This window comes from Homo sapiens, chromosome 2 (assembly GCF_000001405.40).
Source record: "Homo sapiens chromosome 2, GRCh38.p14 Primary Assembly".
Lineage (NCBI taxonomy): Eukaryota > Metazoa > Chordata > Mammalia > Primates > Hominidae > Homo > Homo sapiens.
The window spans coordinates 196658928-196685921 of NC_000002.12; the positions used below are offsets into that span (position 1 = coordinate 196658928).

At 35.2% G+C, this 26994-nt stretch overlaps 1 protein-coding gene across 14 annotated transcripts in view; it reads left to right on the forward strand.

The window, feature by feature from the left end:
- Window positions 1-26994, forward strand: part of CCDC150 (coiled-coil domain containing 150) — a 93092-nt gene that overhangs the window by 19213 nt on the left and 46885 nt on the right. For 8 of the 14 annotated variants that reach the window (XM_006712438.4, XM_017003863.2, XM_047443975.1 and 5 more), the window contains 8 exons: window positions 6640-6756; window positions 7792-7921; window positions 10906-10949; window positions 13418-13510; window positions 15314-15421; window positions 17216-17340; window positions 17627-17804; window positions 18366-18434. In XM_006712438.4, the coding sequence (XP_006712501.1) occupies window positions 6640-6756; window positions 7792-7921; window positions 10906-10949; window positions 13418-13510; window positions 15314-15421; window positions 17216-17340; window positions 17627-17804; window positions 18366-18434 (864 nt within the window). Of the gene's footprint in view, window positions 1-6639; window positions 6757-7791; window positions 7922-9412; window positions 9638-10905; window positions 10950-13417; window positions 13511-15313; window positions 15422-17215; window positions 17341-17626; window positions 17805-18187; window positions 18266-18365; window positions 18435-26994 lie in introns of those variants that run through there. The other 6 variants (XM_017003861.2, XM_017003866.2, XM_047443977.1 and 3 more) reach the window with 6 other exon arrangements.

The following is a 26994-nucleotide window of genomic DNA, read 5'->3' on the forward strand; positions in this document are numbered from 1 at the left end:
GAATGAAAAGAAACCTTTGAAGAAGAAAATATGTGACTATGTAGTAGGAAGACTTTAAAAATATGCCACATTGAATTCAAGTGAAAGTGCCTGCCCTTACATGACATTAAGACTTCCTTTTACCTCAATACTGGCATAAAACTAGAAATAAAAAATAAATGCTTTGTGAACCAGGAAGGAATAGTTACCACTCGTGGCTGCCCGTACACCATAGTTAAGTGGACACTTTCTTGCAAAGTCCTTTTAATCTAAAGTTGTATTTAAAATAAAAAGCTATTAATAAGTCTGTTCATCTAATTTTACCTTAAACTTTCATTTCAGCTTGTTTTAGTAGATAGCAGATTGGGAAATATGAAGTAGGTGGCTGCTAAAAGCTGTTGGACTAAAAATTTGCAACTGAAAACAGTGGAAGAATCAGTAGAATTACTAACTCAATATACTCTGGCAGTGGCCTGAAACCTCAATATTCCCTGACATAATAGTATTAATAATTGATGTTAGTTCAAATCTAATGGGTCAAATTATATTTAAAAGATTCTGTTAATACAAAATAGAGAAGTAGACATACTTTTTAGGAAAATTCTTATGCAAAACTATTTTTAAGGTTATAAATTTTAGTGCTTAGGTGGTAAGCATAGGTATTTGGAAAATTGTCTTATACTGAGTACTTTATTTGCCAGTAATTACTGATAAAAGCTTGATGCTCATAGTTAGAATGTATTCAGTTTATTTCTAAGATATTGTACTAGACTATTTTTAGGGCAGTTTTAGGTTTACAGAAAAATTATGCAGAAAACACAGAGTCCTGTATACCCCTCTCTCCACTCCTGCAGTTTCACTATTATTAATATCTTGCATTAGTATGATACTTTTGTAACATTTGATGAGCCAATATTGAGCCATCATTTAGTGAAATATGTTAAGATTCACTATTCATCATGCTGTAAAGTGCTATGGGTTTGACAAATGCATAATGCCATGTATTTATCATTACAGGATCACACAGAATAGTTGCCCTGCCCTAAAAATGCCCTGTGTTCCACCTACCCATCCTTCCTCATGTCTTCCCCTGAGCCCCTGACAACCACTGATCTTTTTATTGTCTCTCTAGTCCTGTTATTGTTGGAATCATAGAGTATGTATGTAGTCTTTTTTGTACTGGCTTCTTTTATGCATATGCGCTTAAAGTTCCTTCATGTTTTTTCATGGCTCAGTAACTCATTTCTTTATATAGCTGAACAATATTCTATTGTATGTACCACAATTTGTTTATCCATTCACCTATTGAAGGACATATTGGTTGCTTCCAATTTTTGGCAATTATGAATAAAGCTGCTATAAACATTGTGTGCAGGTTCTTACATAGACATACGTTTCCAACTCATTTGGGTAAATGTAATACCTAGGAGTGCAATTGCTGGTTCATCTGGTAAGCCTATGTTTAGCTTTGTATGAAGCTGCCAACCTGTCTTGCAGAATGACTGTATCGTTTGCATGCCCATCAGCAAGGAATAAGAGTTATGGTTGCTGCATATCCTCACCGGCATTTGGTCTTGTCAGTGTTTTGAATTTTTGCCATTCCAATGGGTATGTAGTGGCATCCTGTTTTGATTTGCAATCCCTAATGATATAATGACACTGAGAATCTTCTCATGTGTTTATTTGCCATCTGTATATCTCCTTTGGTGAGTTATCTGTTAGACTTTTACCCCATTTTGTAACTGGGTTATTTCTTATTGTTATGTTTTAAGACTTCTTTGTATATTTTGGATACCAGTCCTTTATCAAAGATGTGTTATGCAATTATTTTCCCCTGCTCTATAGCTTATCTTTTTATGCTCTTAGCTGTCTTTCACAGAGAAGGAACTTTTAATGAAGTCCAATATATCAATTTTTTTCTTTCATGGATTGTACTGTTAGAATTGTATCTAAAAAGTCGACAAACCCAAGTCACTAAGATTTTCTCTTGTATCATCTTCTAAGAGATTTTATAGGTTTTCATTTTACATTTAGGTCTTTGATCTATTTTGAGCTAATTTTCATGAAAGGTATGAGATCTGTATCCAGATGAATTTCTTCTTGGCATGTGGATGTCCAGTGTTTCCAGCACCATTTGTTGAAAAGACAATCCTTTCTCCTTTGGATTGCCATTTAACATTATTTTTTACTGGGGAAGTCTTATTCTTAATTCTTGGTTCTATGATAAAGTCTTGAATTTTGATTAAGCTCTGTCAAAGACTTGCAGAAGTACTATGCTAGTCAAACATGGGCATTCTGAGGGTATGTGAAATAGAAAGGGTGTATTAGTTTGCTGGGCTGCCATAACAAAATCCTAAAGACTTGGTGGTATAAACAGAAATTTATTTGTTGAAGTTCTGGAGGCTTGAAGTCCAAGATCAAGTTGTTAGCAGATTTGGTTTCTTCTGAGGCCTTTCTCCTTGGCTTGCAGGTGTCCGCCTTCTAACTGGGTCCTCACATGCTCTTTTATTTGTGTGTACCCATCCCTGGTGTCTCTGTGTGTCCAAATCTCTTCTAATCAGGATATGGTCAGATTGCATTAGGGTCCACCCCAATGGCTTCATTTTAATTTAATCACCTGTTGAAAGGCCCTGTCTCCAAATAGAGTCTCATTGTGAGGTAGCAGATGTTGGGCTTCAACATAAGAATTTTGGAAGACACAATTCAGCCTATGACAGAGGGTTATATACAGATAGGAGAAGTGTGGTATTTATCTTCCTAAGAGATAATAAATATATATAAAATAGATACAAAATCTGGATGTGATAAACATTAAATAGATTAACTTATTGCCCTTAATAGTACTTCAGAAACAAATACTTCATTAGTAAATGATTCTCTTTGTAATGTACTTTTGTACGGCACATTGTAGGTATATCACGTATAAAAGAGGAAAATGTCTCTTTTTAAAAGTGGCCGTTCTTTAAAAAGGTGGCCAGCTGAATGCTTTCAAGCCTACATAATGGGGGTGATTAAAACAATTTAAAAGAGTGAAATATTTAATTCTGAATGAACTAGAGATTGAATCACATTTGACAGTAATGCAACTAAAATTTAAATGAGTTGATGTCCTGGGTATTTTGAAACTTTCAAGGAATAAATTATATCTTGAACAAATTATAGTACCTAATTTGATATAAAGTTTAGGAAAGTATATTAAGCTACTCTATATGATAAAGTAATTATAATCTGATACTAAAATCTGAAAAAATATAACCACAAATAAAATGGCTCATTCTTACATAAGATTGTAATATTTAACTTATCATTGGATAAGTAAGCAATTTCTAAGCTTAAAAAGAATAAAATTATAAAATGGTCAATAGATTTGACCACATAAGAATACTTCTATATATAAAAAGCAAAACTAATAAAGCAGCAGTCCCTAACCTTTTTGGCACTAGGGACCAGTTTCTTGGAAGACAGTTTTTCCATGGGGTTGTGGGGGTTGAGGGGAATGGTTTTGGGATGAAACTGTTCCACCTCAAATCATCAGGCATTAGTTAGATTCTCATAAGAAGCGTGCAACCTAGATCCCTTGCATGCACAGTTCACAATAGGGTTCACAGTCCTATGAGAATCTAATGCTGCCACTAATCTGACAGGAGGCGGAGCCCAGGTGGTAGAGCTGGTACACCCACTGCCCACCTGCTGCTGGGTGGCCTGGTTCCTAACAAGCCATGGAGTAGTACCAGTCTGTGGCCCCAGGGGTTGGCGACCCCTGTAATAAGGTATTATAACACAAATAGGCAAAGTGTTAATAGTTTTCCCTTTTAAAGAATTTAACAGCCTGGGCAACATGGCAAAACCCCATTTCTGGAAAAAAAAAGAAAAAAGAAAAAAAGCCAGGCACAGTGGTGTACACCTGTGGTCCCAGCTACTTAGGAGGCTGAGGTGGGAGGATCACTTGAGCCTGGGAGGTCGAGGCTGCAGCGATCATGCCACTGCACTCCAGCCTGGGCCACAGAGTGAGATCCTGTCTCCAAAACCCACCCACAAAAACTTAAAACTGCCAGGCATGGTGGCTCATACCTGTAATCTCAGCACTTTAGGAGGCTGAGGCAGGAGGATTGCCTGAGCCCAGGAGTTTGAGACCAGCCTTGGTAACAAAGTGAGACCCTGGCTCAACAACAAATTTTTTAAATTAGCTGGGCATGGTGGCACACTCCTTTAGTACCAGGTACTCAGGAGGCTGAGGCGGGAGGATCACTTGAGTTGGGGGAGGTCAAGACTGCAGTGAGCCATGGTTGCACCATTGCACTCAGCCTGGCTGACACAGTGAGACCCAGTCTCAAAAACAAAAACAAAAACAGTAAAATTGTCTAAAAGTGCCCAAAAAACAATGGACAAAAGATAAGTATGACAGTTTATTACATAAATATATATAAAGAGTTGATAACTATATTAGAAGATATTTAATCTCACAGTAACCAAAGAAATCCAAAATTATTAAGATGTTAGTTTTCATTTATTGGATCAGAAGAGATTTAAGAAAATTTTAATACATAGTACTGATGAGATTTATTCAAATACTATTGATAAGAAGGTAATAATTGGAAAATTATGAAGGTAATAATTGAAAAAAGAATCTTATAGGAATTTATCTTAATGAAATAATCAGAAATGTAAGGAAAGATCTACTCACAAGTATGTTCAGGAGAGCAGTATTTACAGTAGTGAAAAATTGGAAAAACCCTCATGTCAAAGATCAAGGATATGATTTAAAAAGTTATGCATTTCCAAAATGAGCAATCTTGTAACAGTCATATCCCAACACATTTTTTACCTCTTTTAACCTTTAAAAAATGTTTTAAAAATTATAAAATATATTATCCATAGAGAAAAAAATGTGTACAATTTAGAAAACAGGTATAGTATACTCTTAATGTCATCTACGCTGGGGTTTTAAAATAGGATTTCTTTCAGTTTCACATCACTTCTTAAAAGGAATAGCATTCTCTGCAATTCCCATTTCAATTGGAAAGGATCTCTTTACCTAATAATAAAAGAGACTCTTATTAATGGAAAGGATCTCTTTACCTAATAATAAAAGAGACTCTTAACCTTCTTTATATTTTATGTGATTCTTTTTATAGTCACTTATTGACAGAAATAAGGTCAGTGTGCCTCCAAAACAGGGAAGAAAAAAAAAAAGTGTGTTTTTCTACTCTCACATACCTCGCAGCAGAACACTTCTGACACCTGAAGACACACCAAGAAATTCTGTTCTTCAGTGGACACCAGTTGAGTGTCCTGTAATTCAATTCAGTCCTGACACTGACACTATCTACCTGAAGACAGGTGAGGACTCAGTCTCACAAGATTGCCCCCCACTTTAGATGCCAATTGCAAGCCCCAAGTTGTCCTTCTGACTGACTTGCAAAAAATCGATGTTCCCATGATGCCCCTCTGCAAGTTGAAATAATTTGCTGGAACAGCTCAGAGAATTCAGAGAAACGCTTCACTTGCATTTACCCATTTGTTATAGAGGATATTACAAAAGATACAGTTGAGCAGCCAGATGGAAGCGATGCATAGAGCAAGGCATGTGGGAAGGGACGCAGGCCCTTTCTGGGGCTAACCACCTTCCAAGCACCTCCATGTGTTCAGCTGTCCAGAAGCACTCTGAACCCAGTTCTTTTGAATTTTTATGGCGGCCTCATTACATAGGCATGATTGATTAAATCATTGGCCATTGATGATCAACTTACCTTTCAGCCCTTCTCCCCTCGTTAGAGGTTGAGAGGAGGGGCTAGAAGTCCCAGTCCTCTAGTCATGCCTTGATCTTTCTGGGGACCAGCCCCCATCCACAGCTACCTACCTTCCCCCACCCCCCAGCCAATCAGTCATTAGCACACAAAAGACACTCTTATGAGGTGATTCCAAGTTTTTTATGAGCTGTGTGCCAGGAACGAGGGTCAGAAATGAAATATATATTTCTTATTATATCACAATAGCACAGTACCCAAATTCTTTGAGTGTCGGTTTGGTCTGCTACTTAATGGTTACTTCATTATTTGTTTAGACCTCTAAATTCCAGAATAGAATGAAAACAGTTTTCAGAGCGATGTGTATAATACTGCAGGATAAAAAATATGTAGATAAATCAAAATACAGGAAAATAAGAGTTGAAAATAAAGTCAGAAAATATAGAAATACAGAAAATACACACTAAGGTAAGATACTAGTGTTTTTCAAACTTTTTTTGACAATCCATTGTTGGACATATATTTTACACTGCAACACACATACATATACACAAACATTTCCCAAAGCAGCACTTACCCTTACTACTTGCATGCACTCTGATATTTTCTTTCTACTCTTTTATTTTTTCCTTTTTCTGAGTGCTTCTTTCAATTTACTAATGGATTTTGACCTCCAGTTTAGAAAACAGACCTAAATTATAGGAGGATGGGTGCAATAAGTTTGATCTACATTCCTTAGGAGGTAATCCTAGGCAATCTAGGGAGAAACAAAAGCTTGTTTCTGAGTAGTCATAAATGAATTAAGACTGTTTGGGGGTGAGATGGCATGTCTGATAAACTTCTCAGGTAACTTTGATCTTTGTTAAACTAGTATGATCAATTGGTCTTGCCTAACTGCAGTGTTGCTTTGTAGCTAAGGAGACAACTGGCTCAGGAGAAGTACCTTAGGGAATCTTTAGAGAAATCAGCATCAGCCATGCTCCTCAAAATACAAGAAATGGGATCAACAGTGGAGGTAGAACGAAAACAGGTAGAAAGATTTCTTCTCCTTATGTGGTTTGGGAAATGAAACCAAACAAAAACTGATATTTTACCTATAAACTTAAAATTTTACTAATTGCCTCTAGATTTATTAAAATATTTACTTTTTGTTAGCAATATGTTAACAATCTTACTACAGTTTTTTTTAAGTTAGTGCAAAATAAGAAAGACCCTAATGTCATTATTCAACACTCTTAATTTATGAATCAGAGAGCTAAGGACTAGAGAGGTTAATTTACCTCAGGCTTTATAGAGGTGAACTCTTAGCTCCTAAGAGAAAGATAAAGTATTTTTCCCTTATACCATACAATCTCTGTTATAGACATTGATTTTGGAAGGCATTGCCCTGGTCTCATGCTGTATATGTCTGACATGGATAGAAAATAAAGTCTAAAGCGATCTAACACTGGAAGCATATCAATAAGTAAAACAATCAGGACTATATTTACACTGCTGTTTTCAATTATCATTATTTATTTTAACATGATATTTTGCCTTCATATTTGTTATTTGAAGTACCTACAAATAATTTAGAATACTTTAAATTCTAACCAAGTCAGTTCATATTTTCATATTTTAATATAATTGGATGACATAATCTTTATTATTTTAACCAATGGAAAAAGTTTCCCTTCATAACTGAATTATAACAAGGATTCTACTTTAGGAATTGCAAATGATCCTTTGTTGCTGTAACTTGCAATGCCAATATGGTAGCCATTAGCCACATATGGCTATTCAAATTAGTTAAATAAAAGATTTATTTTTTCACACTAGCCATATTCAAGTGCTCAGTAGCCACTTGTGGCTAGTGGATTATTGCATTGGAGAGTGCACAGAAGGTTCTATTGGATGGCACTGCTCCAAGACCGCATTCTGTTGAGATTTTAACTGTAACATAGACTAACTTCTTGTTGCTTCTCAGTGACATTAAGGTTGGAATGTTGCCTTATACATGTGCTATAAGGCAGCTTATTTGAAATCTTTATCTCACAGAAAAAGAGTTTTTCTTATACAATTTCAGGTGCACATTTTGCAGCAAAACTGCATTGCTCTACGTGATTCTATACAGAGCGCTCAAGAACTACTGGCCCAGGAACAAAAAAAAAAAGAAGAGTTGGAGATTGCTACTTCACAGCTCAAATCTGATCTAAGTATGAAAATAGATGCTAGAAATCACCCTCTTGTTAGTTTTTGGAGATTTCATGGAAAAACTCTTAAGATCCCAAATTCTTAAAGTGGCCAGTGTTATTGGTATTTCCCACAGTGCTGTATGTAAAACATTGCAGATTTCCCTTCTACCTGCAGTACTGAGATACAGAAGGATTGTTGTTAATAATATATTTGACCCTGTTAATTGTAAACTATTCCTTATTTGTTTTTTTCCAGCTTGTTTGTGGACCTGGGAATATTTGGTTTCTAGACATCTGGCTTGAATATTGGGCAAAAAAAGTAAAACAATAGATTGAATATTTGATAATAGAATATTAGTAAGGTAGTAAGGCCATGAATCCTTGATGACTTATGGATTCTGTCAGTTCATCATGTCAGATTCTCCATTCTTCATGTTATCAATCTATTTTGGTTAACCTATATTTGTAGAGATGGATAGTTGTAAGGTACCTTTAAGAGAGCTTAGATTAATCTCCTCTTTTTATAGATGAGTCCTCAAAGATGACAGAGCTAGGAAAGGAAGGAGCCTAGACTTGATCCCAAGGTGTTCGGTCATATTTCTTCTAACCCATCAGCCTTTTATCATACTACTGTTGCTAGTACTTCATTATAAAGCAGTTTCCAGGTAGTCTCAATGACAGAGGTCACAGAGTTACAGGGCAGTGCTTCATGTGATTAATACATCATGGTTTACACTGAACTTTCACATAAACTATTTCATTCAGTACTCAAAGCTATCCTTCCAGAGTTACAAAAGGAAAAAATGGCAAAGTAAGACCTAGACCTGGATCTTCTAACTCCAAGCCGAGTGTACTCTCCAGTTCACCTTCTGTGCTCTATGGCTGCTGTAATGGGGGCAGAGAATACCAAAAAGGAAATGGAAATTATAAAAAATATAGAGCAAGAGTAATCTATTCAATGTTTTGACTTACTGCTTTTAGCAGAAAGTATTCCCTTTTCTTATAGTAGTGAATTACTGTGTGAAGTTCTCACCGACAATGCCCCTGGATAATTTTCTGTCTTTCTGTAATTGTGTGCCTACAAAAATACATGTATATTTTATGGTGCTGCCACATTGTCTCATTTGAGCACTGCAACAACCTGTCAGAAAGATAAGAAAATACACACATTCTATAGAAGATACAAAAGGGGTTGAGCGTGGTGGCTCAGCCTGTAATCCCAGCACTTGGGGAGGCCCAGGCAGGCGGATCATGAGGTCAGGAGATTGAGACCATCCTGGCTAACACGGTGAAACCCCATCTCTACTGAAAATACAAAAAATTAGCCAAGTGTGGTGGCACGCGCCTGTAGTCCCAGCTACTTGGGAGGCTGAAACAGAGAATCGCTTGAACCCAGGAGGCTGAGGTTGCAGTGAGCCGAGATCGTGCCATTGCACTCCAGCCTGGGCGACAGAGCAAAACTCCATCTAAAAAAAAAAAAAAAAAAAAAAAAGAAGATATAAAAGGATCCACACTGACTGTACCCAAAGACCCACAGCAAGTAGAATAGCTGGGCCTAAAACAGGTATCTATTATATTAGTTGGCCCTCTGAATTTTTATGTTACTTTCTTGTTGGATTAATGCTTTATTTTTGAATTTTGTAAAGAGTTTGTGCAACACCATTAAAAAATGAAGATTAAAACAACAATAATTCAAACTGACATGAGGAAAAGGAAGCCTGTCTGAATGCCAGCTAGGTGCATAATATTGAATTATAGACTTGACATATATGCAATTTTATTACTTTAAGGTACAAGTAGTTGTTTGAGCTACATTAATAAAAGGAATGCCTTTAAATATTTGCTTCAATGAATTAAAACATGTAATTGTTTATCAACAATAAGCATTTATATACAGATTTATAGTACTTAAGATGAATAAATTGTTCTTCAAAGTAAGATAAACACTCCCCTTTCATTCTTAACTTTGGTTAGTAGAATTTTCCCGAAGTCATATAGTTCATCTTTTTTACCCTTCATGTATTTTAAATTCGAGTTTATTCTGATGAATTGTGGATTCATGTGTTCAAAAAGTACAGTTTTTCTAAGGTATATCCTATATAAAATATCAGTTTTTATGTGTTTTATGATTTCTGGCTTTAGAATATTTAAGTGAAACAAGACTGATATGAATTTTTCTGTGAAGGCAAAACATTACTCTCAGATAAGTTTACACTTTTTGGCTACTAGTATATAATACCAAACTGTTCCACAATTTTCTGTCTTTGGTTTTCTTTTCACTGTACATGCTCTGAGTGGTTTCAAATCTTTTTTTCTGTACAAAATCATCCTCCTGAGTTCTAGACCAGTATCTTACTGCCAACTAAATATCTACATTTGGATGCCTTGCAGATATGTCAAAACACATAGAAAACTTGTGTTTCACTCATTCTATCCCCGAAACCTGCTCCATGCTGTGTATTCCCTATTTAGCTGAAGAGTCCACTGTTTACCCTGCTGCCCAAGTCTGAATGCCAGATGTTCTCCTTGTCTCATCTGTTGTTTTACCCCACCAGTAAGCCATCAAGTCCAAAAGTGCTCTCTGTTTACTGTTTCACAGATCTGTTTTTCCTCTGTGTCTCTGTTGTCATGACCAGAGTCGGTCCTCATCGTCATTACTTTATTGAATTGTCATTTACTCATATGTCAGTTACTTTAACAGCTACTAAATTCATCTCCTTGCCTTTATTGTACCTTTGTTACAGTGATCTTTCTAACAAAAATCTTTTGATCATGCCCCTCCTCAGCTTAAAATCCTTCAGAGACCTCATTTACCATTGCAAATGACTGTGGACTAGTTTCTTGGTAATTCCATAACAGTTTCTAGTCTATAAAAATATTATAGAAATAGTTGGGTTCTCCTTATCTCTACAAAAAATAGACATAAAATATTTAAAGCTTCTCACTATGTGATTTTAATGTAGCAAGTTACTATTATCATAGTTATGTGGAATTTTTGTTTTTAGCTTCTAGAGATGACCTCATTTCCAAGTTGGTTGAAGAAAATAAGGTGAGTTTTGAAGTTGTGGAGTACAGAGGTGGTCTTTCCTCTCTTCACTAAGTCCTATTTCCTCTTCCATGTTGGCTTACAGTGCTTCTTACTCTCATCAAAGTTTTATTTAAAAAGTTTCATGTAAATGAGTAGTATATTTAGGATAATAGTATTAGGAACTAAGAAATCATTTCATGAAGGTTATTAGAGTTTGAAAAATGTAATTTGGCAAAAATAAGACTTATTTGTGTTTTTTGCCTATTGTAAACTAATTGTTATAAAATAAACTTAATGAAATGTAAGAAATATAACTACTTTTTGGTGTTGGTGGTTGCACAACAGTATGAATGTGTTTAATGACACTACACACTTACAGTGATTTGAATGATAAATTTTGTCATGTATATTTTGCCATAATTTTTAAAATTAAAAACATAATGATTTTATATCTTACTACATTTGTAAGTCTGTTGATGTGTCGATTCTACTTCTTTTGGATGCTATCTCATCCTGTGTTATATGTTGTCTGTTTTTCTTGAGATGCTTCTCCTGGGAAAATAGAAGGGTAGTTCTTCCTCTGTAGGAAGAAGATTTATACTTTGTCCTTCCCCATTCTGCTAAGTACCTTTTAGGGAAAGCCCCACCTACAATGCACATCTGTATCACTTCTCTCATCTCAAAGAAAACTAGCTTTTTTTTTTTTTTTCTATAACCACAGAACAAAGGTGTTTTCTTCTGCTCCACTCTCAGGTCCTTGTTTTTGAAAATATCTTCACTTATAACTTTAAAAGATCCTTGAATGTGTTCCTTTGAAGTCATAAGATCTTACTGCTAATAGGAAAAAATGTGTATGTATAATAATATAACAAATATTTAATCTTAGGGAGTAGAACTGTGATATAAAGATACTAGGTATATTTAGGCTATGGTTTTAGGCAAATTCTAACTGGAATCTCAATATAAGAATGGATTTAATAAACAGTTTTCAAAAAATAGGCTTTATTTTTAAGAGCAGTTTTAAGTTCACAACAAAATTGAACAGAAGATAAAGAGATTTCCCAAATACCTTCTGCCCCTATTCATGCATAGCCTTCCTCATTAGCCGTTTGATGGATGTCCATTTAAAAAATGGATGCACCATTTTACATCCCCCACCAGAGTGGTACCATATTACAGTTGATGAACCTATATTGACACATTATCACCCAGAGTCCATAGTTTACATTAGGGTTCACTCTTGGTGTTGTGCATTCTATGGATTTAAAGAAATGTATAATGACATATATCTACCATTATAGTAGATATGTTTTATAGTATCATTCAGAGTAGTTTCATTGCTCTAAAAATCTTCTGTGCTTTGCCTATTCATCCCTCCCTCCCCTTCTAATCCCTGGCAATCATTGATCTTTTTACTGTCTCCATAGATTTGCCTTTTCCAGAATGCCATATAGTTGGAATCATATAGTCTATAGCCTTTCAGACTGGCTTCTTTCACTTAGTAATAAGTATTTATGTTTCCTCCATGTCTTTTCATGGCTTGATAGCACATTTTTCTTTCTTTTCTCTCTCTTTTTTTTTTTTTTTTTTTTGAGACGGAGTCTCACTCTGTCACTCAGGCTGGAGTGCATTGGCACTATCAGCTCACTGCAACCTCCACCTCCTGGGTTCAAGCGATTCTCCTGTCTCAGCCTCCCGAGTAGTTGGGATTACAAGTGCCCTCCACCACGCCTGGCTAATTTTTGTATTTTTTAGTAGAGATGGGGTTTCAGCATGTTAGCCAGCTGGTCTCAAACTCCTGACCTCAGGTGATCTGCCTGCCTCAGCCTCCCAAAGTGCTGGGATTACAGGGATGAGCCATCGTGCCTGGCTGAAAGCTCATTTATTTTTAGTGCTGAATAATATTCCTTTGTCTGGATATACCACAAGTTATCCATTAACTTACTCATGGACATCTTGATTGCTCCAACCTTTGGCAATTATGATTAAAGCTGCTATAAGTATCTGTGTGCAGGTTTTTTGTCTGGGCATAGGTATTCAGCTCCTTTGGGTAAATCCCAAGGAGCATGATTACTGGATCATATGGTAAGAATATGTTTAGTTTTGTAAGAAATCACCAAACTGTCTTCCAAAGTAGCTGTACCATTTTACATTCCCACCAGCAGTGAATGAGAGTCCCTGTTGCTCCACATCCTTGACACCAGTTGGTGTTGTCAGTGTTCTAGATTTTGGCCATTGTAATAGGTGTGTAGTGGTATCTCATTATTGTTTTAAATAAACAGTTTTGATAAATAGTTTTGAAATAAACAGAAGTTTAGGAGTTGAAGATACCAAGATTTTTATACATTCTTTATAAGACATTTATAAAGTTCCAGTGTATGTCATTGGAACTTGAACTTGTACTGGCCGAAATACAAAACAGTTATTTTTATAGGGGTGCACATAGTATCTCTTATATGTGAAAAAGAGAGTAATTTTTTTTCTTATAGAACCTGCAGATATCTTTCAACAAGGAACATGAAGAAAATGCATATTTGAGGTCCGAAATAATGTCTCTTCATGAAGCATCAGAAAAAGCACAAGTAAATGCTCATGATTTTGTTAGTTTTTAGATGTTATTTAATTTTGTTCAATTAAATAACCAAGAAACAAAATTAGTCTTGATTATATAAATTCATACCATCTCCATCACCCAACTTTTCATTTCCATAAGATTTATTTCATCTTTGAAACATTATCAAATTAACTACGTTTCTCATTTCGCTCTCCAAATTCCTATGATATATAAGTATACAAGATGTACCACTATAATTATGCACTAGTTTACACTTTGCCTTTGCTTGCTTTCTAATTTGCTCATTAAATATATGTATTTCCCCCTCCAAAGTGAACTTCTGAATAATTCCATGGCAAGGGCTATGTCTTATACTTTCTTTGTATCTTCTATAGTAAATAATTATACAGTAGGAACCTAACAAATGCTTGCTGGATTTTGAAGTTAGATGTAATCATTTCTGGGATGGTGATTCCCAAATTTAGCTGATGTTTTATATATATGTGCATCTGCAACAAAAAGTCACCAGATATGCAGTCAAATTGGAGTTACTTATCACAGAGCCAAAAGAAGTGTTTATCATTTAAAATAACTTTTCTCTTGGTACAATTTGATTGTCTCAATATTAGGATCATAGTGTTGCTGGGCTCTGTGTATAATAAAAATAATGAAGTATAAAATGAATGTGTTTTTAAATATAATAACATCAACTACTATTACTCTTTCTATACTAATAGTAGGTAACATTTTTACTGAGCCCCTTCTACATTCCAGGCACAATTCCAGGCACCTTATATTAGTAACAAATTGTAATCCTCACAATAGCCCTATGAAATGGAAACTTATTCACATTTTAAAGATAAGGAAGCTGATGTACAGAGAAGTTCAGGAACATAGATAATAGGTGGCAGAGTTGGAATTTGAACTCAGGTAACCTGGCTCCAAAGAAAAGTAGCTATTTCTTTTCAAGGAGCAAGGGTTCTCTGTTTCGTCCCCAGGTATTCTTTGATGAATAGCTTGTACATCTGCATCTGGTGTGACTTTAAGCCCCTGAATTTGTTTCTAACTACTGTACTGCCTGCCCATACCACTTGTGATGTTTGCCAGATAATCTTTTATTTATCTTTTCTTTTACTCCATTTTATTTTTTGTGTGTTTTCTTCCTAGTGCTCTTTCAAAGTTGCTTGTTCTTGAAGAACTTGTTTAAAACATAAGATCTTTGCCAAATCTACCTTGCAAAAATAACTGATAATTGAGATAAATGTTTCTCTCAATAATACAAATTTCAAATTATGAAAAGAGAATTATTAACTACCTACATATATGATATATCTGTGTAGCTCAAACAATTTTTGTTTTATTTTGAAAGATTAATCTCGTGATGGTAAAATCATCTATATTTTGCTTTTATGAATATTGTCAGCTGGTGGTGAAGGAGCTTAGGTATTTTGTGTTACCAGCTAAATAATTCTGAATGCTCATGGATTTCTATAATATTGGCTAGGTACTGACATTGTAAATTCCATTTTGCAGATGTCTTGCTCTAATGAACCAGTGTTCAAATTTGTGAAGAACAGAAGATCAGTAAAATGCCATATGCTTCAGTTGCTCTACCAAATCAACAAATCTCTTAATTTAGAATTATTTATGGTGTAGACTTTTAATATTTGGAAGTATTTTTTAAACTAATGACATGTGAATTGAGGATAGGTTAAATAGATTAGTTTCATATATACAGTGAGATACTATGCAATCATTAAAAATAATAATACATAAGTAAAAATAATTCTTTATTGGAGAGACCAATGACTTGCTGTGTGTGTTTTCTTAGGTTTTGAATGACCAATTGACTAAAAAGTGTTCAGAGTTGAGCTGCATGCTTCAGACTGTTACTATGGAAAAAGCCAGAATCATTGCTGACCATCAGGCCATTCTGCAGGTATTCGTTTAACATGAAAGCCAACCAGAAAGCCAGCCTGGTTGATAGATCAGGAAATGTTTATGGCCAACTGGAGAAATAAAATATTTTAACAATAAATTTCAAAAAATCTACTGAATTATCTTAATTCTATTAGTGCTTTTCAATTTTCATCAGAGGGGTGATTTGGCCTTACACTCAGGGCTTTTCATGATTTCTTCTCAAATATCATCACTTGAGGAAAAATAATTATTTGTCCCATTGTTTATAGAATCATGGAGAACACGTATGACTAACCTTAAAGTACTTAACCTTTTCCTCAAACACCTTGCCGATTTCTCCTTTTGCTTATGCCATTTTCTCTGCTGAGAATGCTTTTTACTTCATCTTCAATATCTGAAATTCTGTTTATTCTTTAAGAGTCACTTTCATCAGGCAGCTTGATCATCCCAACAGGAAGGGATAAGTTTTCCCTTTCAACTTCTATTCCTGGGACACTAAACAGACCACCATAGTAATAGATCACTTTCTCTTTTTGTAAGCATACTTACTATATATACTAAGCATTGTGCTAAGGATTTTACACATATTACCTCCTTTAATTGTAGCAGCCATTATGTAAAAGGATATTTATTATCCTCATTTTACAGATAAGAAAATGAGGGTTAGAGAAGTTCACTTGCCCAAATTCACCTAACTAGTAAGAGGTAGAGTTGTGTTTTAACCTAGGGTGACTCCAGAGTCAATGTATATAATCATTATGCTGCATCCCTATTCTGCATTCTCTAGTAGTAATTTATGTGCTGGTTCATTTCCTGGATTACACTGTGAGCTCTCTAGAGGCAAGGACATTACCTTATATATCTTTATTTCTCATAGTGCTAAGCATGCTTTGCACATAACATATACTCAATAAATACTTAGTTTTTAACTCTGTGCAAGTATAATGCTATATCTAGATAGGATTATAGTGGTGAACAAGACAAAATTCCTACTTTCATGGACTTATAATTCAGTGGACTGAATATATAGTGAAATATTTATTACAAATATTTCAAAATTTTGGAATATAACAATTGGGATCCCATTTTACCAGTGTGAAGACTTGCTTTGCAATCAAATATTGTTAAAATAGAAGTTTTTTAAAAAGTATTTATAAAACTAATTGTTGATATGTACTGTATTTGCAAAAACTTTATGGATTATGTGTAGGGGTATATGGTACATAAAAATGTCATGTTTTGATAATTCCAAAATGGTGAGCCAAAGAAAATAAACTATGTAAAACAGTTATAGTGCTTCTGCTGTAACATTATCTGAGTGCAATTTAAGATAGTCTTAAAAGAATTCACAGCAAACTGTTAAACATGATAATCCTTAGAATGTGGGATTATTTGGAGGGGAAGTGCAGATAGAGAGGAAAGGATCTTTTCACTTTATATACATTTATATTGTTTTACTTTTAAAAATAAAGTACCATATTGAAATTTTAAAATACCAAAATTACTTGTAATATAATTTTCTATATTTAAAAATTTGTTGGTATTAGGAGTTTTATAATTTTTCAGCAGGCTGGGTAAATAATGCATCTTGACTATTGGCTAGTAGAGCTATAAAATGATAGAACTAGTCAACTCAGAGGAGGACAAAGAGAAACTGGGCATTGAAATAAATTGTTTTAAAAAGAGGTTTTATTTATGTAAATGAAACTTGTTTTTTTAAGTTAGTTCAGTGTTTTTGATCAGTTACTCCAAATGACACCCTATCAAAAGACTTTGTGGAGCTTCAACTTCTAATATTGCTTTTAACACTCAGGTAGAGCAGAAAATGATGACGCAGACATTTCAAGAACAAAACTTATTGCTGGATGCAGCCCATGCCAGTATCACAAATGAACTACAGACTGTTCAGAATGAGAAAACCCAACTCCAGGCACATCTGTAAGTAAATTATGGGCAACTTCTTATACATCTTTTGTTCTTGCATGTGTGTTTCTTATCATGTGTCCGTCTCAGTCTTATCGTCAATGAAAACATTTGATTCTGCATTTTTTGGGCCAGCCACAGAGCTAAAATAAAGACTCTGCCCTCAAGAAACTAGTTTTGTTAGAACATTTTGGTAACTACTCTCAGTCAGGAAATATGTTCTATAAGAACATTTAATTGCTCTTTCTGTTAAATTAGAACTCTAATTTAGCTTTCATATGTTCTTGATCTCTTCCTGCAGGGATCATTTAATCCTTGAGCATAACCAGTGTATCCAGAAAGCACAGGATGCTGAAAAGAGAACAGCTGTGCAAAAAGAGCTGCTAGAATCAACTATTGCAAGATTGCGAGGTGAATTGGAAGCATCAATGCAAGAGAAGAAGTCTCTGCTAGAGGAGAAAGAAAGATTTCAGAGGGAGGTAGGTAGAAGCAAATTTACATTATCTTCTCATTGTGGTGTGATGATGTTTTAAAATTGCATTCTAAATGCAAAAGACAAGAAAAGAAATAAAACCCAGATGCAGTTTGTCTGAGTTGCCCAGTAAAGAATCTTTAGGTGGCTAACCTATGCCTTTTAGCATGTGAAGTAGTCTGTGCCAAATAGAACAGTATATACTTATCCGGCGTTAGTGAATGTTAACTAGTAATTCACACATCCTGGTGTTAGTTAAGGGGTCAGATTTTAAAAATTGATTTCCCCTGAAGGAGTGGGACAGCGAAGGTTAAGGGGGAACAGCCCTGTCTTCCTACTTAGGAAGGAACCAGCAGAGTCTGACATGCAGACGTGTCTTTCTAATTTCAGGGCTATTTGTGAAGTCTGCTCTGCCTCAGAGACTCCCTGATTGGCCCCTTTTCTGAGAGGATGTGCTATCTCTGCAGTGTAGGTATTAATTGACATGCAGGATATGTGTGCTATAGTGGAGCCTGTCAGCTGCTATAAAATTGACCTATTCCTTTTTTTTCCCATCCTCCTTGGGCAGGTTAATAAAACAGAAAAAGAAATAGTGCAAGAAAGATGCAATTTGGAAAAGGAATTAGCTAAAAACAAGGTATTCTTCATTTTACTTACTGATATTTCACTATATTTCCTTCTGTATTGCTGACTACCGTATCAGCTTATCTTAATGAGGAGATGGCTGATGAATACCAAGCTGCAGGGAAAGGAGAGCTATGAAGCTGGATGCCACTCAGAGCACACCAGTCACTGCAGCAGAAGGTTGTTTCTGGGGAACATTTTCTTGTTGAGCATCTGATGTTTGCCAGTGAGTCATCACTGCCTCTGGCCCTAGTGTTAACTGAGGATTCTAGCCAAGAAGTCACCTGAGAGTTAGCTAATGGGCCTGTGAGAGGCAAAGAGATGATTGCTGACTAGGCTGTTTTTAAATAAAAAACTAACGGCTGGGTGAGGTGGCTTGCGCCTGTAATCCCAGCACTTTGGGAGGCCAAGGCAGGTGGATCATTTGAGGTCAGGAGTTCGAGACCAGCTCGACCTACATAGTGAAACCCCATCTCTACTAAAATACAAAAATTAGCTGGGCATGGTGGTGGGCGCCTGTAATCCCAGCTACTCGGGAGGCTGAGGCAGGAGAATCGCCTGAACCCAGGAGGCAGAGGTTGCAGTGAGCAGAGATTGCACCACTGCACTCCATCCTGGGCGACAGAGCAAGACTCCCTGTCAAAAAGAAAAAAAAAATACAAAAAACTAAGGCTGCCTAAGTACCTATCAGCACCTGCCACTGTATCTTCGAGGTACCATTTTCTGGGTTCTAAAACAGTAGAATGTCCAGAGAAACAAATGAAATCCTTATTAAAATTAAACAAGAACCAATCTTTAAAACATTGCTGTTTGCGTTTCAAATTTTGAAGAGAGTAAAGATTATGTATCACTGTCATCTGGAGAATATATCTGGAGCAGCAAGGAGTTATTAGCTTACTTAGACAAGAAATCCAGCAATAGGTATTGGGTATAGTCATCAAACCTTGACTGTTTCTTTGCTTCTGGTTTGCCCAAGTAGCATTTGTATTACCATATATACATGTAAACTTTTAATTTAAGGATTGGAGAGAGGAGAAATGCTAGAGTTTGAGCCTGAGCTCAAATGCAGTTACCACCAAGCTAGCAGGTGCTTTCTCTGGTTCTAGTGATATGAAAATAGTCCACCCTAAAAATCCTCAAATGAGGCTGACTTCCTGTGGCAAGGACTTTGGTGGTATCAATTTGACCTCAACCATGCTTTCTAAAATTGGGAAAATTGGTGACTACTATTAAATTCAGTAATGCTTTTTGCTTAAAAATGTTAGTGAATGAGAGTGGGCGTGGTGGCTCACACCTGTAATCCCAGCACGTTGGGAGGCTGAGGCAGGCAGATCACTTGAGGCCAGGAGTTTGAGACCAGCCTGGCCAACAAGGCAAAACCCTGTCTCTACTAAAAATACAAAAAAAATTAACCAGGTGCGGTGGCGCACACCTGTAATCCCAGCTACTCGGGTGACTGAGGCATGAGAATTGCTTGAACCTCGTAGGTGGAGGTTGCCAAGATTGCACCACTGCATTTCAGCCTGGGTGACAGAGTGAGACTCTGTCTCATAAAAAAGTTAGTGAATGTTACATGGCCAAGGCAAATGCTGTGAATATGTTTGAGATAAAAACATAGCATTATTATTTTGCTTGTCTGATTTCATTCGTCTTAATGTAGACTAAGTGTAAGTTCATGGTGCTGAAAGATACTTGTTCATTAGAGACTTTCTATGAAGCCAAATGATAGTGCTTATAGAGAATCTCATTTTGTGGTATAAATTGATTTTTAAAATATGTGTTCTTTTAACAGTATGCTTTTTTAAAAAGTCAGGTTAATTGTTATAATTTACATACAGTGAAATTCACCCTTTTTTAGTGTATAGTTCTATGAATTTTGACACATAAAATCATGTAACCACCACCACAATCAAAATATAGAACATTTTTGTCACCCTGAGGAAGTTCCCTTGTGCCCTTTTGTAATCAATGCCTTCTTCCACCTCCTTCCCCTGGCAACCACAGATCTGTGTTTTTGTCCCTGTAGTTATAAATTATCCAGAGTGTCATATAAATAGAATCATACAGTATGTAGCATTTTAAATTTAATTTTTTTCATTTAGCATAAGGCATTTGAGATTCATCCATGTTGTGTGTCAGTAATCTGCTCCATTGCCTGGATGTATCAGTTTCTTTATCCATTCACCAACTGAAGGACATTTGGTTTGTTTCCTGATTTTGGCAGTTAATAAAGCCTATATAAATATTCAGATATGCACATATGTATTTCTGTTGGGTAAATATCAAGAGTTGGATTTCTGGTTCCTGTGATAAATGTATGTTTAGCATAATAACAAACTGCTCAGCTGTTTTTCAAACAATCTGTACCATCTTACATTTCTGTTAGTAATTCATGAGTTCCAGTTTCTCTACATTCTCACTAGCACTTGGTTGTCAGTTTTTTAGTTTTATCTATTAGAATTTGTGTGTAGCAGCGTGTCACTGTGGTTGTAATTTGCATTTCTCCAATGACTAATAATATTGAGCTTCTTTTCATGCACTTATTTGCCATTACAAATTGAAGTATCTCATCAAATCTTTTAACCATTTTAAATTCAGTTGTTTTTCTGGAGTTTTCAGAGGTTTTAAAACATATTCTTATAATCTTAAAAATATTTTTACTGTTTGTATATATACAAGTCTTTTGTCAGATATGTGTTTTATAGATCTCTTCTTCCATTTTATGACTTTTTTCATTTTCTTTCAAAGAGCAGAAGTTTTAAATTTTAATGAAGACTAATGATCAATTTAAAAAATTTTGTGGATCATACTTTTTGAATTTTTGCCTAACCTAGGATCACCACAATTTTCATTTTTGTTGTCCTCTAGAAGTCTTATAGTTTTAGGTTTTATAGTAAGTCTGTGATCCATTTCAAGTTAATTTTTATGTATCATGCAAGGTATTGTTCAGGGTTCATTTCATTTTTTTTTCAGGGTCTCACTCTGTCACTCAGGCTGCAGGGCGGTGACACAATCACAGCTCACTGCAGCCTCCACCCCCCCAGGCTCAGGTGATCCTCCCACCCACCTCAGCCTCCTGAGTAGCTGGGACTGCAGATGCATGCCACCACACTCAGCTAATTTTTTTATTTTTTGTAGAGACGGAGTTTTGTTATGTTGCCTGGCCAGTCTCGAACTCCTGGGCTCAAGCAATCTGCCCAGATATCTCAGCCTCCCAAATTGCTGGGATTACAGGCGTGAGCCACCATGCCCAGCCTAGTACCTTTTTAAATTTCTCCATTGGTGGGCTTTCAGGTTGTTTCAACTTTTTGGGTATTAATGATTCTGTGAGCATTCGTATACAATTTTTTTGTGTAAACATATGTTTTCAGTTGTCCGAGGTATAACCTAGGAGTGGAACTACTGGGTCATGTGATTACTCCATGTTTATCATTTTGAGAAACTGCCAAACTCTTTTCCAAAGTGGCTACACCATTTTACAATCCCACCAGCAATGTTTGAGAGTTCCAGTGTCTCCACATCCTTACTAACACTTGTTATTGTTCACATTTTTAAAATACCCATCCTAGTGGGTGTGAAATATCTCACTGTGGTTTTTTAATTGAGGTGAAATTCACATAATATAAAATTAGCCATTTTAAAGTGAACAATTCAGTGGTATTCAGTACATTTGCAGTGTGGTGCCACCACTGCCTCTGTCTAGATTCAAAATATTTTCATCACCCCAAAAGGAAACCCTGTACTAGTTAAGCAGTCACTCCCCATTCCCTCCTTCTCCCAGCCCCTGACAACAACTAGTTGACATTCTGTCTCTATGGATTTACCTATTCTGGATATTTTATATAAATATAATCATACAATATTTGATTTTTTGTGTGTGGCTTCTTTTACTTAGCATGATGCTTTTGGGGTTCTTCAACATTGTAGTATGTATCAGTACTTCATTTTATGGCTGAGTAATGGTGATTGTATGTATGTATGTGCACGCACACACACATACACACACACCAAATTTGTTTATCTGTCCATCTGTCAAAGAACATTTACACTGTTTTTACCTTTTAGCTATTGTGACTAGTGCTGCTGTGAACCTGTATATACATATATTTCAGTACCTCTTTTCAATTCTTTGTGATATATATATCTAACAGTGGAATTTCTGGGTCACATGGTAATTTTATGCTTAACTCTGAGGAATCACCAGTTTTCCACAGCACTAAACCATTTTACATTCTCACCAGCGATGTACAAAAGTTCCAGTTTCTCCACATCCTCACAAACACTTATTTTGTGTTTGATTATAGCCATCCTAATGGGTGTGAAGTGGTACCTCATTGTGGTTTTGATTTGTATTTCCATAGTAACTAATGACGTTAAGCAGCTTCTTGTGTGCTTACTGGCCATTTATATATCTTCTTTGGAGAAATGTCTATTCAGATCCTTTGTCTATTTTTAAAAGGGATTATCTTTTAATTATCAACTTGTATGAGTTTTTTACATATTTTAGATACTACAACCTTATCAGATATGATTTGCAGGTATTTTCTCCCATTCTGTGGGTTGTATTTTTACATTGATAATGTCCTTTGATGCATAAAAGTTTTAAAAATTTTAAGTTTGGTTTATCTGTGTTTCCTTGGATTGTTTGTGTTTGAGTATTATAGTTGAGAAACTCTTGCCTAACTCAAGATCATATAGATTTATACCTATTTTATATTTTAAAATTTTTTTAATAGTTTTATGTATTAATTTAGGTCTTTGATCCACTTTGAGTTTATTTTATATGTGCTATGAGGTAAGGGTTTGACTTCATTATTTTGGCTACAGATATACAATTGTCCGAGTACTGTTCGTTGAAAAGATCATTCATTCTTTCTATGGAATAGTTTTCACTCCCCTGTCAAAAATCAATTAATCATAGATATGTAAGTTTATTTCTAGACTCTTAATTATCTTGCATTGATCTATATGTCTGTCGTTATGCTAATACCACACAGTCTTGATTACTATTGTTTTGTAGGAAGTTTTGACGTCTAAATGTGAATCTTCCAACTTTTTTTTTTGTTGTTATTTTTTAAAGATTGTTTTAGCCATTCTGGGTCATTGCATTTCTATATGAATTTTAGGACCAGACTCTCCATTTCTGTAAAAAAGAACAGCTGGAATTTTGGTAAGGTTTACATTGAATCTGTAGATCAATTTGAAGAGTATTACAATCTCAATAATACAATTTGTTGTATATTTTCTGTATAAAGTATGTCCTCACTTAATGTCATCAGTAGGTTCTTAGGTTTCAATTTCAAGTGAAACGACATACAGCAGGTCCTTGAATAACATCATTTCATTCAGTGTTGTGTTATGATGTTGATAAGAAAAAAATGGATTTTGTTATGCATTATCATTTCACTTGAAGTTGCAGTCTCCAAGAACCTATCAATGACAGTGAGGACTACTGTATAAGATAGTGTCATCACTATAACTATCTCTATAAACTATATCTCTATAAATTATCTCTATTTGTAATAGAGATAGTTATTTTTTGTAGAGATGGAGTTTTGTTCTGTTGCCTGGCTGGTCTCGAACTCCTGGGCTCTCTATTTGCTATGTCTATTTGTAATACAGATAGTTTCACTTCTTCCTTTCCAATTTGGCTGCCTTTTATTTCATTTTCGTATATAATTGCCTGATAGAATCTCCAGTGCAGTATTGAATAGAATTGGTGAGAGCAGACATCTCTGTCTTGTTTCTGATCTTCGGGGGAAAGCTTTTAGTTTGTCACCATTAAGTATGATGTCAACTGTGGGGTTTTTTCAATGCTGTTCATCAGGATTAGAAAATTCCCCTCTATTCTCAGTTTGTTGGGAATTTTTGTCATGAAAATATGTTGAATTTTGTTAAATGCTTTTGCTGTGTCTATTGAGATGATCTTGTGGGTTTTGTTCTTTGTTCTATTACTATGGTGTATTACAGTGATTGACTTGAAATGGAAAACTAAGCTTGCATTCCTTGGATAAATTTTATTTGGTCATGTTGTCCTTTTTATATGTTGTTGCATTAGGCTTGCTAGTATTTTGTTAAGATTTTTTGCATCTATATTCATAAGGGATACTGTTCTGTAGTTTTATTTTCTTGTAATCTTTTTGGTTTTGGTATCAAGATAATATTGGTCTCTTAAAACCATTTGGTAAGTATTCCCTCCATTTCTATTGTTGGGAAGAGTTTGTGAGGGATTGGGGTTAATTCTTCTTTAAATATTTTGTAGCATTTACCAGTGAAGCCATCTGGTTCTGGGCTTTCTTGTATGTAGAAGGTTTTGTTTCTTTGTTTGGTTTATTATTTTTATTCTTATAGGTCTATGCAGATTTTCTACCTTTATTTGAGTCAGTTTCAGTAGTTTGGTTCTTTCTAGGAATTTGTCCATTTCATCTAGGCTATCTAATTTGTTAGCATACTATTTTCAGAGTAGCCCCTTGTCTTTCTTTCTGTAAGGTCAGTAGCAGAGTTCTCTCTCTGACTGCTAATTTTAATAATTTGTGTCTCCTGTATTTTGTTCTTGGTTAGTCCAGCTAAAGGTTTGTCAATTTTGTTGATCTTTCTAGAGAACCAACTTGTGGAAGTTTTTATAGATTTTTCTCTATCTTATTTCTGCGTTAATCTTGTTACCTTCTTTATGTTTGCTTGGGGTTTAATTTGCTTTTCTTTGTCTAGTTTCTAAAAAAAAGCTTAGGTTATTGATTGAGAAATATTTCATTTTTTAAATGTAAGTGCCTATAGGAGTCACTCTGAACCTATTCTGGTTCAGGGGAGTGCCCATAAAAAAATAAAAAATAAGTTTCTGCAGCTATAAATTTCCCTCTCTGCACTGCTTTAGCTGCATATGAGATGTTTTGTTATTTTGTGTTTTCATTTTTGTTTATCTCAAACTGTTCTTTAATTTCCCTTGAGATTTCTTTTTTGACCCATTGGTTGTTTAGAAGTGACATGTTTAGTTTATTCACATATGTGAATTCCCCAAATATTCTTTTATTGATTTCTAATTTTATTCCATTGTGGTTGGAGAACATACTTTGCATGATATCAGTCCTTTCAGATTTATTGAGAGTTGTTTTGTGGTATAACAGGGTTATACCCTGAAGAATGTTCCATGTGCATTTGAGAAAAATGTGTATTTTGCTATTATTGGGAGGATTGTTCTATAGGTGTCCGTTAGGTCTACTTGGTTTATAGTGTTGTTCATGTCTTCTGTTTCCGCATTAATCTTCTGTCCAGTTGTTCTGCTGATTAATGAAAATGGGGTATTGAAGTCTCCAACTATTACTGTTAAATTATTTATTTGTTCCTTCAATACTGTCATTTTTTGCTTCATATACTTGTGGCCTCTGTTAGGTGCATATATATTTATAAATGATACATCTTCTTGATGAGTAAACACTTTTTCAGTGTATAATGCCCTTTATCTCACCAGTTTTTTCTTAATGTCTATTTTGTCTAATATTAGTACAATCATTCTAGCTCTTTTTAGATTACTGTTTAATTTATATGGTATATATTTTTCATCCTTTTGCTTTCAACCCCATTTGGGTATTTGGATCTAAAGTGTATATTTTATAAACAGCATATAGTTGTTTTTTTAAAAACTAATTTTGCCTATCTCTGTGCTTTGTAATTGCAGTGGTTTAATCCATTTGTATTTAATATAATTACTGTTAAGGTAGGATTTATATCTGCCATTTTGCTTTTTTTGTTTCGTTTTTTGCTTTTTGTTCCTCTATTTCTCAATTAGTGCCATCTTTTATGTTAAATATATATTTCTAGTTCACCATTTTAACTCCCTTATCATTTCTTTTATTCTGTATTTTGGTTTATAGGTAACAAAAAGAATTACAAACAAAAATATATACTACCTTTTATATACACCTATGTTGCTACCTTTACTGTTACCTTTTATTTCTTATGTGGATTCCAGATATTGTCTAGTGCCCTTTTATTTTAGCCTAAAGAACTTCCTTTAGTATTTCTTACAGCGTATGCTTTCTAGCTTCACAATCCAAACCCCATCAAAAATGGGGACCTGGAGAAATTACTCCACGTTTTAGGTGAAGTCTGAAGAACCACATTCTCAAGAGTGTGTTTAAACTAGAAGAAAAGCTCTTGTATGAATTATTTCCATTTTTATTTATCTGGGAATGTCTTAATTTCTCTGTTGTTTTTGAGGATAGGTTTGCTGAATTTAGAATTCATGGTTGAATGTTTTTCTTTTTCTTTTCTTTTTTTTTTTTCTGAGACAGTGTCTCGCTCTGTCACCCAGGCTGGAGTGCAGCGGTGCCATCTCGGCTCACTGCAAGCTCCACCTCCCGGGTTCATGCCATTCTCCTGCCTCAGCCTCCCAAGTAGCTGGGACTACAGGCGCCTACCACCACGCCTGGCTAATTTTTTTTGTATTTTTAGTAGAGACGAGGTTTCACCTTGTTATCCAGGGATGGTCTTGATCTCCTGACCTCGTGATCCGCCCGCCTCAGCCACCCAAAGTGCTGGGATTATAGGTGTGAGCCACCGCGCCCAGCCGGTTGAAT